General features: G+C 35.6%; 1 annotated feature.

The window, feature by feature from the left end:
- Positions 13,872-14,442: an enhancer, noted in NCBI's record as "OCT4-NANOG hESC enhancer chrX:95211663-95212233 (GRCh37/hg19 assembly coordinates)". NCBI's record gives its function as "activates a minimal SCP1, AML or CMV promoter by ChIP-STARR-seq in naive and primed H9 embryonic stem cells {active_cell/tissue: H9 hESC(naive and primed)}" and the evidence as "EXISTENCE:reporter gene assay evidence [ECO:0000049][PMID:30033119]".

Here is a 15,443-nt window from a genome sequence, read left to right on the forward strand (position 1 = left end):
TGTGGTTTTTAATAAAACACAAGTCATTTGTGCATATAATAAGCAGATGTAAACTTCTTTGCACTCCTAGAATAGAGTTGTTTGCATTTATGAATGGCCCCAATCAGGTAGGAAAACCTATAATTGGCTCTTTATCAATCCTAATCAGAAAATGTCTTGTTTCATTCATTAGTTGAGGTCTGAGTTTTAAGATCTGAATAATAATGGGTTGCAACTTAAATTTTCTAATTCCCTTTCACTCAAACTTTCAGATGCAGAGGCATATATAACAAAATTTCCTAGTTAGCTAGTTTGAAATTTCTTTTGGAAATCACAGAATATCAGAGCTGAAGGAGACTTTGTCAACAGTTAGTCAATGGTAGAGCTAGAATAAGACCCTGTGTCCCTTGATTCCCATTTTCGTCTTTTCTCTACTACCTAACACTACCTCTCCATCTGCCCAATGATTTACTTGCAGCATCAAAGTGTCAAAAATATAATTTTATTCAGTTGGCTGCTATAGATATTTTAAATCTCCAATTAAACAAAAAGACCTAAATGACATCATTTCTAAAATAATCACTCACTGCAAATCCTTTATCAAACGTAATTCAGTCTTTTGAACTGATATTTTAAGAAACATTCTCTTTATAACTATACCTTTGATCAATCTTTCATTCTGACTAATCAGCATCTCCCTGGGATGCTTCCCAGAAAGTAGGTATGATGTTTTCCAAGTCTTCTAATTGAATAGAAAGACTTGTCTCTATTTTGATATGTGGGTTTAGTTGTGGTATGCTTACAATAAGCGGCTTTTAAGATTGATTAAAGCCCTTTGCTTCAATTCAATTATTAATTAATCTCAGCAGCCATTTATTGCTTTATATGCCACAGAAAAATAGAGATCATCCTTTAATTATTGATTCGTCTGATAGTAGTGCACCAGCTGTACTACCTTTACATGTCAACATTTCTGTTAAGTATATTTTCAGTTTGCTCTGCTTTCCTTGTCAAAAGGAAAGACATTTTCAAACCATCTGTTAAATCACCAACCTCTTCTACAGATTATTCTGAGCAAAATTATCTGGCAGGAAGTCATTCAGTTTCTTGCAGGTAAGAAGACTTCTCTCTGAGGGCTTAAAATGGCCCTGAGCTTCTGAATTACTTGACTTTTGTTTTTACTTTCTCTTAAGAGCAATAGGTCAGAAATAGCTTAATCAGTATGCACTTCTGAATGTATAAATTTTTATATGTAATATGGGGAAATTTTTCTTACAGTGAATATTGCAGTTCTCTTAGTGTTTAATTCTGTCAATATATGAAAAATATTTTCTGTGTATTTTCAGGCATTTAAACTAAAAATATAAATTTGAGTATTGTCTCCATTATAAATGGAGAAGGATGCTACAGCAGAGTTCTTTGTTTCATCAGCATTGGCCGTGATTACCAATAAGCAATTTGCAATTTGATCAGTTGGTTCTCTTACTGATAAGTCCACCTTAAATAACTAAGAATTTCTTCCAAAACTTTTATAGAAATAGTGTCTGTGTTACATTACTTGCTGGTTTGGCTGCTGTAACTCAGAGACCTCAAATAATAGCTGCTTAAACTAGAGAGATTTATTTTTCTTTCACATCAAAATCTGGGTAGGCAGCTTCAAAATCAGCAAGGATATTGGTTCATTGTAACATATTGCTTTGATGTTATCAATACACAGTTACTATCTCCTCAACCAAGAGAGCTATATAACTCCTGCCATCATATTTATGTTCCAACCTGAGGGGCGGATGTAAAGACACAAGGGATGGAATGCCTCTTCCTTTTAAATGAAGGAGCCAGACATTGAGTACATCACTTCTGTTCACATTCTGTTGGCCAAAATGTAATCACATGGATAGCCTTACATACCTTCAGGGAGCCTGAGAAATGTAATTCTGGGCTTTTGTTGGGTATATGTCTGGCTATATACCCAGCAAAAATTCTATCCCTATATATGAAAGGGAGAATAAATGTGGGAGGACAATTAGCAGTCTCCACCCTAGCCAAAGAAATAAGAATTAAGAGTAAGCCAATAATTCCTTTCATTTATATAGCCCTTTTTTTCTGAGAGCTTTCAATTATCTTACTATATCCTCACTTCAGTCAATTCTTAATTATCTACAATAAAACCTGGGAGGAGGAGAGAATCACAAATAATCAAATGTGGCAGATAATATAAACATAATTAATATTTTATTTTGATTTGAATGCTCTGGTTCTTTGATGCCTAACAATCAAGATGAGCAATATTGAATTATCATTAGGCCCCACATATGCAAGAACATTTCACAACTACAGATACCCTCATGCTGCTTTTTTTGCCTGCGATGGCCTTTTCTTGCTTGCCTGCCAAACGCCCGCCCAACTTTCAAGATTCATCTTAAGTGTTATCTCTCCGTGTTCTCTCAGAAAAAAACTCTCTCCCACTAACCAAGGTAGAATTAATTACATCATCTTTTGTCTTACCATTCCACCTTGAATAAACCATAATTTATTGTTTATTGGTTTATGTGTCTGTCTCCCCCAGCTCCCAGCACAGAGCCTTTCATATCACAAGCACTCAGTAATATCTATCAATGTAAACACTTTTAATAAAACAATAATTTACACTATTAAAAATGCCATTTGAACACATCTGAAAAGCATGGGATAGAAAGTATCACCCATCTTATACACAACATTTCACACAGAAAAGGGATTACCTGATAAAATGCAGACTATGTATGAAAGATTCTAATCAAAAACAAATGAACAAACATGTTTCATGTGAAAACTGGTGCAGATTACCTCAGTAGAGCCCATTTCAAGTATATGTAAAAGATGTAGCAATACCAGTAATGTTATAGTCCAAATAAGGTTAAAGATATGGACGCTTGTTGTCACCATTAGAAATGAATATTTGTATAGGTACTCTGACTAATTCAATAATATATGAAATAGAAATGTGAGTCATAACTCATGTTTACCCAACAAAAATTCTACATGCGTAGAGTCATAACTCATGCTTCTATTTCATATATAGAATAAAGAAGACAGAATTATCACTACTTGTAGATTATGATGTGCCTAAAACTACAAATGCATGGTTTTATAAATCATTAAAAATAACACAAGTTCAATAAAATGGTAAGTAAAAGCAAAATATAAAAATATACAAAATAAATGTAATTCCTTGATATTAGAAATAATTCATAAGAGAAAAAGGAAAAGGTGACATTCCCAAAGCAGCCAAAAGTATAAGCTATCTAGGAACAATTCTAACATGAAATATAGGATATTTTACAATAAAAATTTCAATGAATTTTTAAAGAAAAACTTAACAAAATGATTCCAAAAATTATTCAGGAAAAAATGAACAAATAAAACACATAAACCTAAAAATCAAATGGGAGACAGTATAATAAATCTCAGCAAATATTAAAACAAATCAAAATGTTTTAATATTCAAAACAAATGTCAATGACTCAAGCATCAACAGATAGTTGATGGAACAGATCTTGTGCATGTAAGTAAAGAATCACAAATTGATGTGGAATGATAAATTTATTATAAACAGTATGAAGATAATGGGCTACATAGGAAAAAAGTCAAATTAGAGCTTTCCCTCATACCTTACCACATATTTGAATTCAGACAAATTAAGGAGTTGCATTTAAACTTGTATATGGCAAAAGGCTCCTTAACCAAAGTCAACAGATGGCTTAAACACTAGAAAAAATACAATTGAAATATTTAAGAAAAAAGTTAATATCCTTGCTGCTGTGGTCTAAATTGTGTCCCTTCTACAAAATACATATGCTGAAGCTCTAACCCCTAATGTGACTGCATTTGGAGATAGGGCCTTTAGGAAGTAATTAAGGTTAAATGAGATCATAAGTGTGAAATCCTAATCAAATAGTCTTGGTGGCTTTAAAAGAAGAAGAAGAAAATTGTGTATCTCTATCATGTGAGGACTCAGAGAGAAGGTGGCCTCCTGCAAACGAAGAGAGCCCTCACCAGAACCTGACCACCTTCACGCTCTGATCTCGGACTTCTAGCTTCCAGAACTGTGAGAAAATACATTTCTGTTGTTTAAGCCACCTAGTCTATGATATTTTGTTATGGCAGCCCAAGCTGATTAATACTTGCTAAATAAATAACTCAAAATATGGAGAAAAAGACAACTATCCCAAGAAAAATATAGGAAAACATATAGCTGTTACGTGCTGAATTTTGTTCCTCAAAATTCATATGTTGAAGTCCTAACTCCATGTACCTCAGAATGTGACTATATTTGGAGATAGAACCTTTAAAGAGGTAACAAAGGCAAAGTGAGGTCATATGTGTGAGCCCTAATCCAATATGACTAGTATCCTTACAAAAAGAAGAGATTAGGATGCAAACATGCACAGAGGAAAAAACATGTAGAAACACAGAAAGGGAAGACCATCTACAAGCCAAGGAGAGAGGACTCAGAACAAATCAATCTTGCCAACACCTTGATTTCACACTTCCAGCCTCCAGAACTCTGAGAAAATAAATTTCTGTTGTTTAAGCCACCCAGTCTGTGGATTTTGTTATGGCAGCCCTAGCTAATACAAGTCAAGTAATTTAGCAAAAAAATAGAAGGAAAGAAAGGAACAAACAGGTAAAGATCCTTAATCTTATCAGCAATCAGAGAAATGCCTCAGGAAAGTGAATTAGGTTGAAATACTTGATAAATATACAACAATGTTTATTAAAAGATAGTTACGGCCATGTTGTTCATAATAACAACAAATAATAGAAACAATCTAAATTAATAATACAAAATTATTTTAATAATTTATGAACTTCAGACTTGCATATATAACTGCCTACTCTAAATTTACAATTAATTCTAAGTGGCATCTCCAAATTAACCCATCTAAAACCAAATTAAAAAAAATAAATTTAAAAAATGTTATGGTAGTAAGAACACTTAACATGAGATCTATCCTCTGAACACATTTTTAGGTGTACAATACAGTAATAGTAACTATAGACACAATATTGTTTAGCCAAAACCAAATTTTTGAGTTCCACTCTCAAAATAAAAACCTGTTACTTCCAGTTTAATTATCTCATCTATTCTTCCATAAATTCAGGCTCTCTCACACAATACATCAAATCCATCAACAAATTCTTCTAGAACTACCTTCAAAATACATCCAGAATCCAAACACTTATCATCCCTACCACTACAACTTTAATTCAAACCACAAATGCCTGTTGCCAGGATTATTTTGAAATCTTCCTAACCTGTCTCTCTGTTTTTGCCCTTACCACCTTACAGTCTATTCTAAGCACAGCAGCCAGATTGAGCCTTTTAAAATGTTAGCTCAGATAATGTCACTTCTCTACTTAGAAGTCTCCAATGTCTTCCCATCTCATACAGAATAAAACCCAACATCCATTCCATGGCTTTATTGGTGGCTCAAAGTCTGGCCCCTACTACTTCCTTAACTTAATCTACTATTTTCCTCCTCACTCACAGCACTCCTACAACACAGGTCAGTTCTTTCATATTTCTGATTAAATCTTGCCCCTGATCCCATAAAGTAGAAGTTGTTGGTACCCTGCTTAGATCCCCCTTCCTGCGTGGCAGAACTATTCTCCTACCTGTTGTGAGTATTGAATCTTTAAGAGTTCACAGTTTCATCCTTCTGAGAGCTGGCCTCAACAGCAAGGAGTAACCTCTCCTGGAAATGCCTGAGAGTTTACATCCTCCCCCTGCCTGCAACAAATGACTAACCAATATAGGAGTACAAAATGCCATACCCTTGCCTTAAGGTGGGATAACTCTGTGGTGTCATTCATGTTCCAGGGCCTTCTACTTGGAACAGGCTAAACTTCAGTTGAAACCACATCTTTGGCTGATATATTCCTCTGCCTTAACCTAATTTTTCTCACTCCCTTAAAGGATTCACCTGAAGGTAACTCCCTCAATAAATCAATTTTTCAAAAATGCTATCTCAGGCTTGCTTCCACGAAATAAGAAGTAATTTAGTTGGTATCACGAGAGTTTCTAGGAAAGAGTCTCAATGTCTGAAGGGCCAATAGTAACCCATTAGTGGTGTTACATGGAGTATTGACAGTGCTTAGAATATAGGGATGTGCTAGCTTTTGTAATGTCTCTGGTGTCTACAAAATACAGGGATCTTAGTGAATACCTGGATTGTACTTTCTGGATGGCTGTTGCTAAGCACCACTGATGCTTTGAAAAAAAAAAAAAAAGAAAATCACAAGCTCAGAGCACTTAATTATCAATTTAAAGCAATATGTAAGTGTCACAGGGCATCCTTAGAAGCATCTTAAAAAGGACTTCATTTCCCACAGCTGGAGTGCAAACTGACACAGAACTTGACTCAAAAAGACTGAATATCAGAGGTGGTTGAATTCTCAGCCTAGGAAAGTTTCCTATGCCAAAGTCGGCCCAGATAGAGAAGGAGTAGAGCCCTGAAACTTAGAATAAGAATATCTGGGTAGATTCACTCAAGATATTTGAACCCTCAGATTCCCCTTAGTCCTCTGGGCTTAAAAAATTATCCAACTCTCCCTTGTGTTAGGAGAGAGAAGGCCTTCTTTTGAAGACTATACACAATGCTCAAATGAGGTATATGTCTTACAAGACAATGTTGTCCCTCTTCAGGATCTGCCCCTACATCCCTCTTGGACTCCAGACCAATAACTAGATTCAGAGCTCAGCCTGATCCTTCTGGGGCAGTGATAAGTCTGCTAAGGGAGTAGATGAATTACACACCACAGAAGCTGAAATACCTGGCTAATACATGCTGTAAGACACTGGGAAATTGTACCTGGAAATAGAACTCGAGGGTGTTGCATCAAAGGAGACAGAAAATAAAGGTGGATAAAGGAGAGTTTATTAATATTACGACACTTTTCTACAGCAAAGGCTTTGCTTAGTGGTTCTGATGCATGGCTGGATTACCTCTTGGAAGCTTGGTAAAAGTGATGACTCACATTCAATGAAGCAAAGATGTCAACATTGCAATGTACCTGAGGGAGGCAACATGCCAGAATGGATCTATCATAAGAGAACAGATAATCTAGCAGCTGACCTTGTTCCTTGGGAGAGATGGAAAACTATGATGTCATTCATACCCAAGAGCTTTTCCTAGGAATAGGCTAAGGCTAGATTTCAGGTAGAACTACATCTTTGCCTAGCTTCTTCTTCTGCCCTATCTTGCTTCTCACACTCTTCCAGGTTTCACCTGAAGACACAGTCTCAAACTACTTGTCCAAGAATCCTCATCTCAGGGTTTGCTCGAAAGAAATCCAAATGAATATATCACCCTAATCAGAATTAATTTTCATCATCTCTCACCACTTACCCTACTTTTCTTTTTTCATATTTATCACTACCTTATATGTTATATATTTGCTTGTTCTTTGTCTCTCCACCCCTGTAGAATATAATATCCATGAGAGTAGGCATTTTTGTTTTATTTACTGCTATATCCCCAACACCAACTATGATACCTGGCATACAGTAGATATTCAATAAGTAATTTTGAATAAGTTAATGAATGGCAAAACAAATAATAAAACTATATGTAAACTATAATCCCATTTTCCTATTTTATATTTTTAAATGTGTGTACAGTTAAAAATGTCAAAGGAAGCATGTGAACATTTAATAACTTCAGTAACTGACAAAGTAAAGGCAAACATGTTCAGTAGGACTTATAAGAATCTTCTTAACCTAAGCCCTATCTATATTTTCATCCTTCTCTCTCATTGGCCTCACCTTCAGCTGTTAAACTTTAGCCATTGTGGTGTTTTTTAAGTTCTCTGAAAATTGTAAGCTTTCCCTTTCCCCAGGCATTGGCTTGCATCATCGTTTCTGCCTTGGAACAGTCTTCCCTTAATCTTCACATTGCTAACTAATTCTCATCCATCGTTTCTCAGATTAATGATAACTTTGTCATGGAAACCTAGGTTATATGTTCTTGCTATGGACACACCCTATAACACTGAATTTACCCCTATGCTTTCCTGCTGGATTGTGTATTCAGCAAGAGCAGGGACCTGCTCACCACTGTGGCTCTAGCACCTGGTGCCTGCCACACAGATGTTTAATATTTGTTGAACAAGCACAATGGTAAGAATGAAGTTCATTTTTACTTTCTCTTTCATATTTTCTGAGTTTGTCACAGTAAACTAGCCTCAATGTTTTATATTTTAAATAGCTCTTTGTATTTTGAAAAAAAAAAAACTTAAATATGTATCCTGAAACCCTAGGCTAGTTAGAAGAAAATATAGGTTGATATTAACTTATGTCAGAATAGAACATTTTTGAAACATAAAAGCAAGAGGAGAAACCATAAAACAAATGATCTGTAGGTTGAACATCTAGCTTTTAAAATTTCTGTACATTAACATATAAAGGGAAATACATATGCAACAAATTTCTATCTGTCAAAGTCACAAGATTTCTAAACAAAGCATTCACTTTTAGTGGGGGTAGGCTGAGAGGAGGCTCATATATACTTGCTCACAGCCTTAAAGAAGTCTATAACTGTAGTAAATAATTTCAAAATTGTTAATCTATCCTAAATAAATAATCAGTGATAAGGTCAAGGATTTATCCACAAGCTCTAAAGGGAGATTTTTCTATGATAGTTAAACATTGTAAGCAACATAAATACCCAAATTTGGCATATTAGCTTAAAAAGTATTCAATCATAATGTGACATATCCTTCAGCCATTAGCCAATTTTAAAGAGAATAGAATAACTTAAAATACAGCATATTGTTTAGTGAACAAATAAAAACAATATACAGAATGAGGCAAGATTTTTTATTGGAGAGAGAGGAAGAGAGACAGAGAGATAGAGACAGAAGTCTTTAATATACTACAATGTTAAAACAGTTCTGAGTATTGTGATTAAGGACAAATTTTACTTTTCTATATTTTCTATTTTTATACTATGACTTACATCTATAATTATAAAAAAAAAGCTAAAAATATTTGAAGGAGAAAATTTGATACCATGGAAGAAATGCCAATAACAATGGAAAAATTTGTGTGTGTGCGTGTGTGTGCATGTGTGTTTAAAGAGAGATAAAGAAGGAGGAAAGTGACATAGAGAAAAGACTGAAAACTGGTACACTAAAATGTCAGTAACTCCTCCTGGTTGTTGAGAATATGTGTGAATTTTAAAAGTTCATTTGGTTATTAATTCAACAAATATCATTAATATTTTTATAGTCACTGTGATACCGTGATGGGCAATGGGAATTCAGTGGTGATCAATATGGTAAAAGGCCTCGACTTTCATGGACCTTACAGTCTACGGCTAAGAAAGGACTCAGCAGGAGGAGTGAGCTTTTAAGGAACCGGTGTCTTCATTTGGCAGAATATGAATGACAAACTGGGGAGTTGCGTCAGGGTTATCACTTCCTCCTGGTCTTTCAGGTTTTGCTTTTCCTCACCTAATATCCAAATATGTTATGTGCATTATATAGATAAATAGATAGATACACACACATATGTGTGTCTCTCTATATATGAGTAGGTGTATATCTAGTTTTTCTCCCAGTGTCCAACTTTTAAAAGGCAAATACTCCTGGGAAGACCATCATTTGACCCCTTTGACACTAAATGGAAAAAGGAAAATAAAATAAGAACATCTTTTCTGAGCTAAACAAAGGGAACAGGTGTGGTCATTGGTACTGAAGAATAAAGTTTTTCTACCTCAACATTGCTCAATTTCAGGTCAGTATCTGCAGATAATCAACAATGTATTAAATTGGAGTTTTATCATTGGCAGTATAAGAATTTATTCTGAAAATAGAGCTTAAAATGTGAGAAATTTGGAGTTGCATCCAATAGGGAAAAATATCTAACTTTTAATTGAGGTTTAATGGAACAAAATAATCAAAACTAAAAATGCTTCAATAAAAGAAGACAGCTCATAAATGGGTCATTGCTGCAATGACCACTTTTAATTTCACCCTCCTTCCAACCAGATTGTAGTTTAATGGGATGCCATAAAAGGGACATAACAATGTTTTCATAGAGAAATAAACATGGAGTAAAGATTAAATGATACCATTTAAAAATTACTTCTTGCTTGGTTTTCTCTGACAGCAAATTTGGTTTTCAGAAGTTCTTTGATACAAATCCACAAGTCATGCCATGACATAAAGACTGAATAAACATCCTAAGACTGTTCAATAAGGAAATATTTCTAGAAGCCACTCTAAGAAGGCAGAATTAATCGTGGTGAAAAGAAAAAAACTCATGGGTTTTCATTTTAATGTGCAATAAATATGTTCTTTCAATTTTTTTTAATTAGAGAAGGAGAGGGAGGAGCTAGCGAGTGAGCAAGTGAGAGAGACAGAGAGAGAGAGAAACTCAGTGGCTTTATAAAAAATGGTTTAGTTAAAAATAGGCTAATTCTTTCTTAATATGGAGCACTGTGAACCATCTCTGCTTGCTTCCAGTAGCATTGTTTGCTTTACATCAATATATATTTAAGGCAATATTCCAGTAAGCAGTCTTACCTCACAGAAATAGATGTCATGACATAGGATGATTTTATTGGTACCTATCTACATATTGTCTATATTCAATAAGGGAGATATAAATTCTTAACTCTGAGAACTGAAACTTTTGCTATTATTAAAATTCTTTCATGTTTAATTGTGAAAAGGTTTAATTATGATAAGGGATCAGCTTTCGTAACCATTAAATAAACTTGGGAACCTTCTTTCTCATAAATTTTGGTTGATTAGATTTTAATGAAACTTCCTGCAGCCACTGAATAAAATAGCTTCAACATTATTTTCAAGACTTGGTATACCATCAGCCTATACCATGTGACTGTGTTTAGCACACTTCCGTGAGTACATATATGTCATATGTGATCATATAATCCACATTCACATGATCTCACATAATCTCTCAGGATATACAGTTTAACTTTCTGTTTGCTTTACTCAATTTGGAACGAGTCAATTTTAATTGCTTTCATAGGCACAAAATACCAGAGTAGTAAATCACAGAACAACAAAATATCTTCTTGCTGCCAAAAACAATCAGAAAACAGCCAAGTTTCTCTGAAAGGCAAACAACTTAATCATTATTAGTATTTTCAATGTCACAATTATTTATTATTTAATGCTCTTGTGGTTAAAAAAATGAATATAACTATTTGCATCTTGAACAGTGCTTTATAACTTACAGAACCTTATTTATTATCTCATTCAGATTTATTAACAGTTATGTGAAGTAGACTGAACAAGCATAATTACCCCTATTGTAGATGTAAAGAAAGTGAAGTTCAGAGAAGATAGTTAACTTCTCCTTGGTCAATTGTCTAAAAAGTAACAGAGTTAGAAGCAGGACTCAAATTATCTAAATCAGGGTTACAACTTTCTCTACTACAGTGTGTAATCATGGAGTGAAAAAAATATGCCCCATAAATGGTTATTTCTTTTTCCAATAGTTTAGTTCCATCAGTGAATTTTACTCTAAGAGTTCAGGTGCAATGAGTTCTACCTTGTATGTGCCTTAATACTCAAGAAATCAACTTCAGAAACTGTGTAGCAAAATTTCAAAGAACTCTGAATGACAGAAAAGTTTAAGATATTGTTAAATGTACTGCCCTCTTCCCCAAACAAAATTACTTCCTTACTTCAAGAGACAGCATGGATGCCATTATCCAACCATTATGTACTGTATCTAGGCTGCTTTTCTAAATGGCTCAAGAAAAACATGACTAAATGGTACTCTAAAATCATAAGCTCTAACTATGACTGCCTTATTAGTGGGATTGCCAAATTTAGCAAACAAAAATACCAATGTCCAGTTACATTTTAATTTCTTAAAAACAAGTGTTCATTTTTAGTATAAGTATGCCCTAAATATTTCATAGGCCATTCTTATACAAAAATGTTACTCATTTTATCTGAAATTCAAATATAACTATGTGTCTTCATTTTACCTGGCAACGCTACTTTATTCACTCATTACCATTTCACACAGACTGGATTCCGTAAATTTACCCTCTTCACTTTAGATGAGTCTCTCCAGAAGCATGGGCTTCAGGTGAGCCAACTTCCCAGCAAAAAGGGTCTCATGGTTAGAGTTTCTGCACTATCAATCTTGGTCCAGGGAATAAATGGGTCCCCAAGTTTGCAGTTTAGGATTTAATTCGGGTTTTAATTGTAGAAAGATATCACAAGGCAGAGAGACATGAGAAACAACCACCATTCTCCTAAAAATATCCACTGAAGATCATCCCAGCCATACTAAGGTTCTTCTTATTTGGGATGATTTGAGTTGAAAAGTTCTGCGCAAAAGTACAATTCTTTCGAATTCGTTTTTCAGGCCAGTGAAACCTTAAGACAGGCCAACACAAAAGAAAGTTTAAAAACTTAGTTATAGTCATGGAATTTTATCTGCTATTGTTTTGTCTAAAAGGATGTTTTAAAACTACATGCCTCTTCTCTTAAAAAAAAAAAAAAAACCTGTCATGCTATCATTAGGTGATCCTTCTAGGATAAATTTTGGCTGTTAACTTTTTTCTCCATCTGTGTTGTGGGCTGCTTAGAAAAACACCTCGAATCAGCTAGATGTGTATATCGAACACGATGTTTTTTAGCTCTTTTATTTTTTCACATAAGTTCCAAGTATCTCTTGAAAAAGACAACTAGTTGTTTCAACAATTATGGCCTTTAATTCTCCTCACTCACCGAGATAAGGCAATTTCTAAGCACCAAAGTAAACTTCACAGAGAAGGGCTTCACTTAGGGAAGACTCTAAGGAGATTCAGGGAGGATCTTTGAAGAAATAACAAGAGGGAAAACTAAATGGCACATGGTTTCCACTAATTGTATCATGAATTGTCTTTATTTTATCCTCTACACCACATTTTCTATGTAAAGCGTAAGGGGAAAATAAATTAAAATAAAATACCAGTCAGTGAATGAAGACAGAAAACATTTTAAGAGTAACAATAGCAACAAAATTTCCACAACCATAGAGAGCTACCACAAAGGGCAAAAAAAGAAATCCTATGTATAAATAATGGAACAGTGTTTAAAAAATCTAGACACAGTAGAGCTTCAGCGGTAAGGCAAGACTGAGGTTTGAGTGGCCAGTCTGAAGTTTACATAAGAATAGCTTCTTAAGAAAGGATTTCAGGTAAGATACCTTGGAAGTTAAATTTCCTAGTAAAGTGGATACTGTTGAATTCATTTATAAGACAACAAATTCTTTTGCTCATAACCCCAGAAGATTCTTGTCACAGGACGGCAAAACTAACTAATCAAATTGTTAGAAGTAGCTGTAGTTTAAAAAAAGCAGAGCCTTCTCTTTCCCCTACAAGCATTTAGTTTCCTCATCAATAACCCTAAAAGCTTCCCAATAAATCAGACATATTTCTACATATATAAATCTGCTTTATATGAGGCAAACATCATGTCTAATTTCTGGAGATATTGTCAATTTGTAATCTGAGTATTTTTAGTGTATTTTGCCTGCAGGTTAAAAAATGCCCTATTTCAGCAAGTCAATTAAAAATAAATGTTTTGAAATGAAAAAAAAAAAAAAAGACTGAGTACCAATATGCTTTGGCTCTGTGTCCCTACCCAGATCTCATGTTGAATTGTAATTCCCAAAGTTGGGGGAAGGACATGGAAAATGCTGATAGTAATATGGACAGTGAAATCCAGGCTGAGGTGGTCCCAGATGGAGATTAAGAACTTATTGGGAACTGGAGTAAAGATTACTCTTGCTATGTTTTAGCAAAGAGACTGGTGGCATTGTGCCCCTGCTCTAGGGATCTGTGCACCTCTGAATTTGAGAGAGATGATTTAGGGTATCTGGTGGAAGAAATTTCTAAACAGCAAAGCATTCTAGATGTGGCCTGGCTCCTTCTAAAAGCCTATGCTCAAAAAAATAAATAAATAAAAATAAAAATAAAAGCCTATGCTCGTCTTCATAAACAGAAATGATCTGAAACTGGAACTTGTATTTAAAAGGAAAGCAGAGCATAAAAGCTTGAAAAATTTGCAACCTGGCCATGTGGTAGTACAGAAAAACCTGTTTTCTGGGGAGGAACTCAAGCTGGCTGCATAAATTTGCATATGTAAAGAGGAGTCAAATGTTAATAGCCAAGGCAATGTGAAAACACTTCCAAAGCATTTCAGAGACTTTGTGGCAGCTCCTCCCATCACAGGCCTGGAAGCCTAGGAGGGAAAAATGGCATTGTGAGCCAGGACAAGGGCCCCACTGCTCTGTGCAGCCTTGGGAAATGGCACTCTGTGTCCCAGCCACTCCAGCTCTAGCTGTGGCTAAAAGGGTCCAGGGTATAGCTTGGGCCATTGCTTCAGAAGGTGCAAGCCCTAAGCCTTGGTGGCTTCCACGTGGTGTTGGGCTTGTGTGTGCACAGAAGTCAAGAATTGAGGTTTGGGAGCTTCCACCTTGATTTTGGAGGATGTATGGAAATGCCTGGAGGTCCAGGCAGAAGTCTGCTGCAGGGGATGAGCCCTCATGGAGAACTTCTACTAGGGCAGTGGGGAAGGAAAATCTGGGGTTAGAACTTCCACACAGAGTCCCCACTGGGGGACTACCTAGTGGAGCTGTGAGAAGAGAGCCACCATCACCATCTTCCAGACCTTAGAATAGTAGATCCACTGACAGCTTGCACTGTGCGCTTGGAAAAGCTGCAGACACTCAACGCCAGCCCATGCAAGCAGATGCGTGTGCTGTAGCCTATACAGCCAAAAAGGTGGAGCTTCCCAAGCCTTGGGAGGCCACCCCTTGCCTCAGTGTTGCCCGGATGTGATACATGGAGTCAAAGGAGAATATTTCAGAGCTTTAAGATTTAATGACTGTCCTGCTGGCTTTTGTACTTGCATGGGGCCTGTGATCATCTTTTTTTGGCCAATTTCTCCCATTTGGAATGGGAGCATTTACCCAATGCCAACTAACTTGGTTTTGATTTTACAGGCTCATAAGCAAAAGGGACAAGCCTTGTCTCAGATGAAACTTTGGACTTTGACTTTTGAGTTAATGCTGGAATGAATTAAGACTTTTGGGGGCTGTTGGGAAGGCATGGTTGTGTTTTGAAATGTGAGAAGGACATGAGATTTGGGAGGGGCCGGGGAACGAAATATATGGTTTGTGTATTAGTCTGTTCTCATACTGCTATAAAGAACTGCGTGAAACTGAGTAATTTATAAAGAAAAGAGGTTTAATTGACTCACAGTTTCACATGGCTTAGGAGGCCTCAGGAAACTTACAATCATGGTGGAAAGGGAAGAGGCACATCTCACATGGCAGCAGGTGAGAGAGATACATGTGTGTAGGAAGCAAAGGGAAAAGAGCCCCTTATAAAACCATCAGCTCTCATGAGAACTCACTCACTATCATGAGAACAGCATGGCAGAAA

The sequence above is a fragment of the Homo sapiens genome, chromosome X (genome assembly GCF_000001405.40).
Source record: "Homo sapiens chromosome X, GRCh38.p14 Primary Assembly".
Classification (NCBI taxonomy): domain Eukaryota; kingdom Metazoa; phylum Chordata; class Mammalia; order Primates; family Hominidae; genus Homo; species Homo sapiens.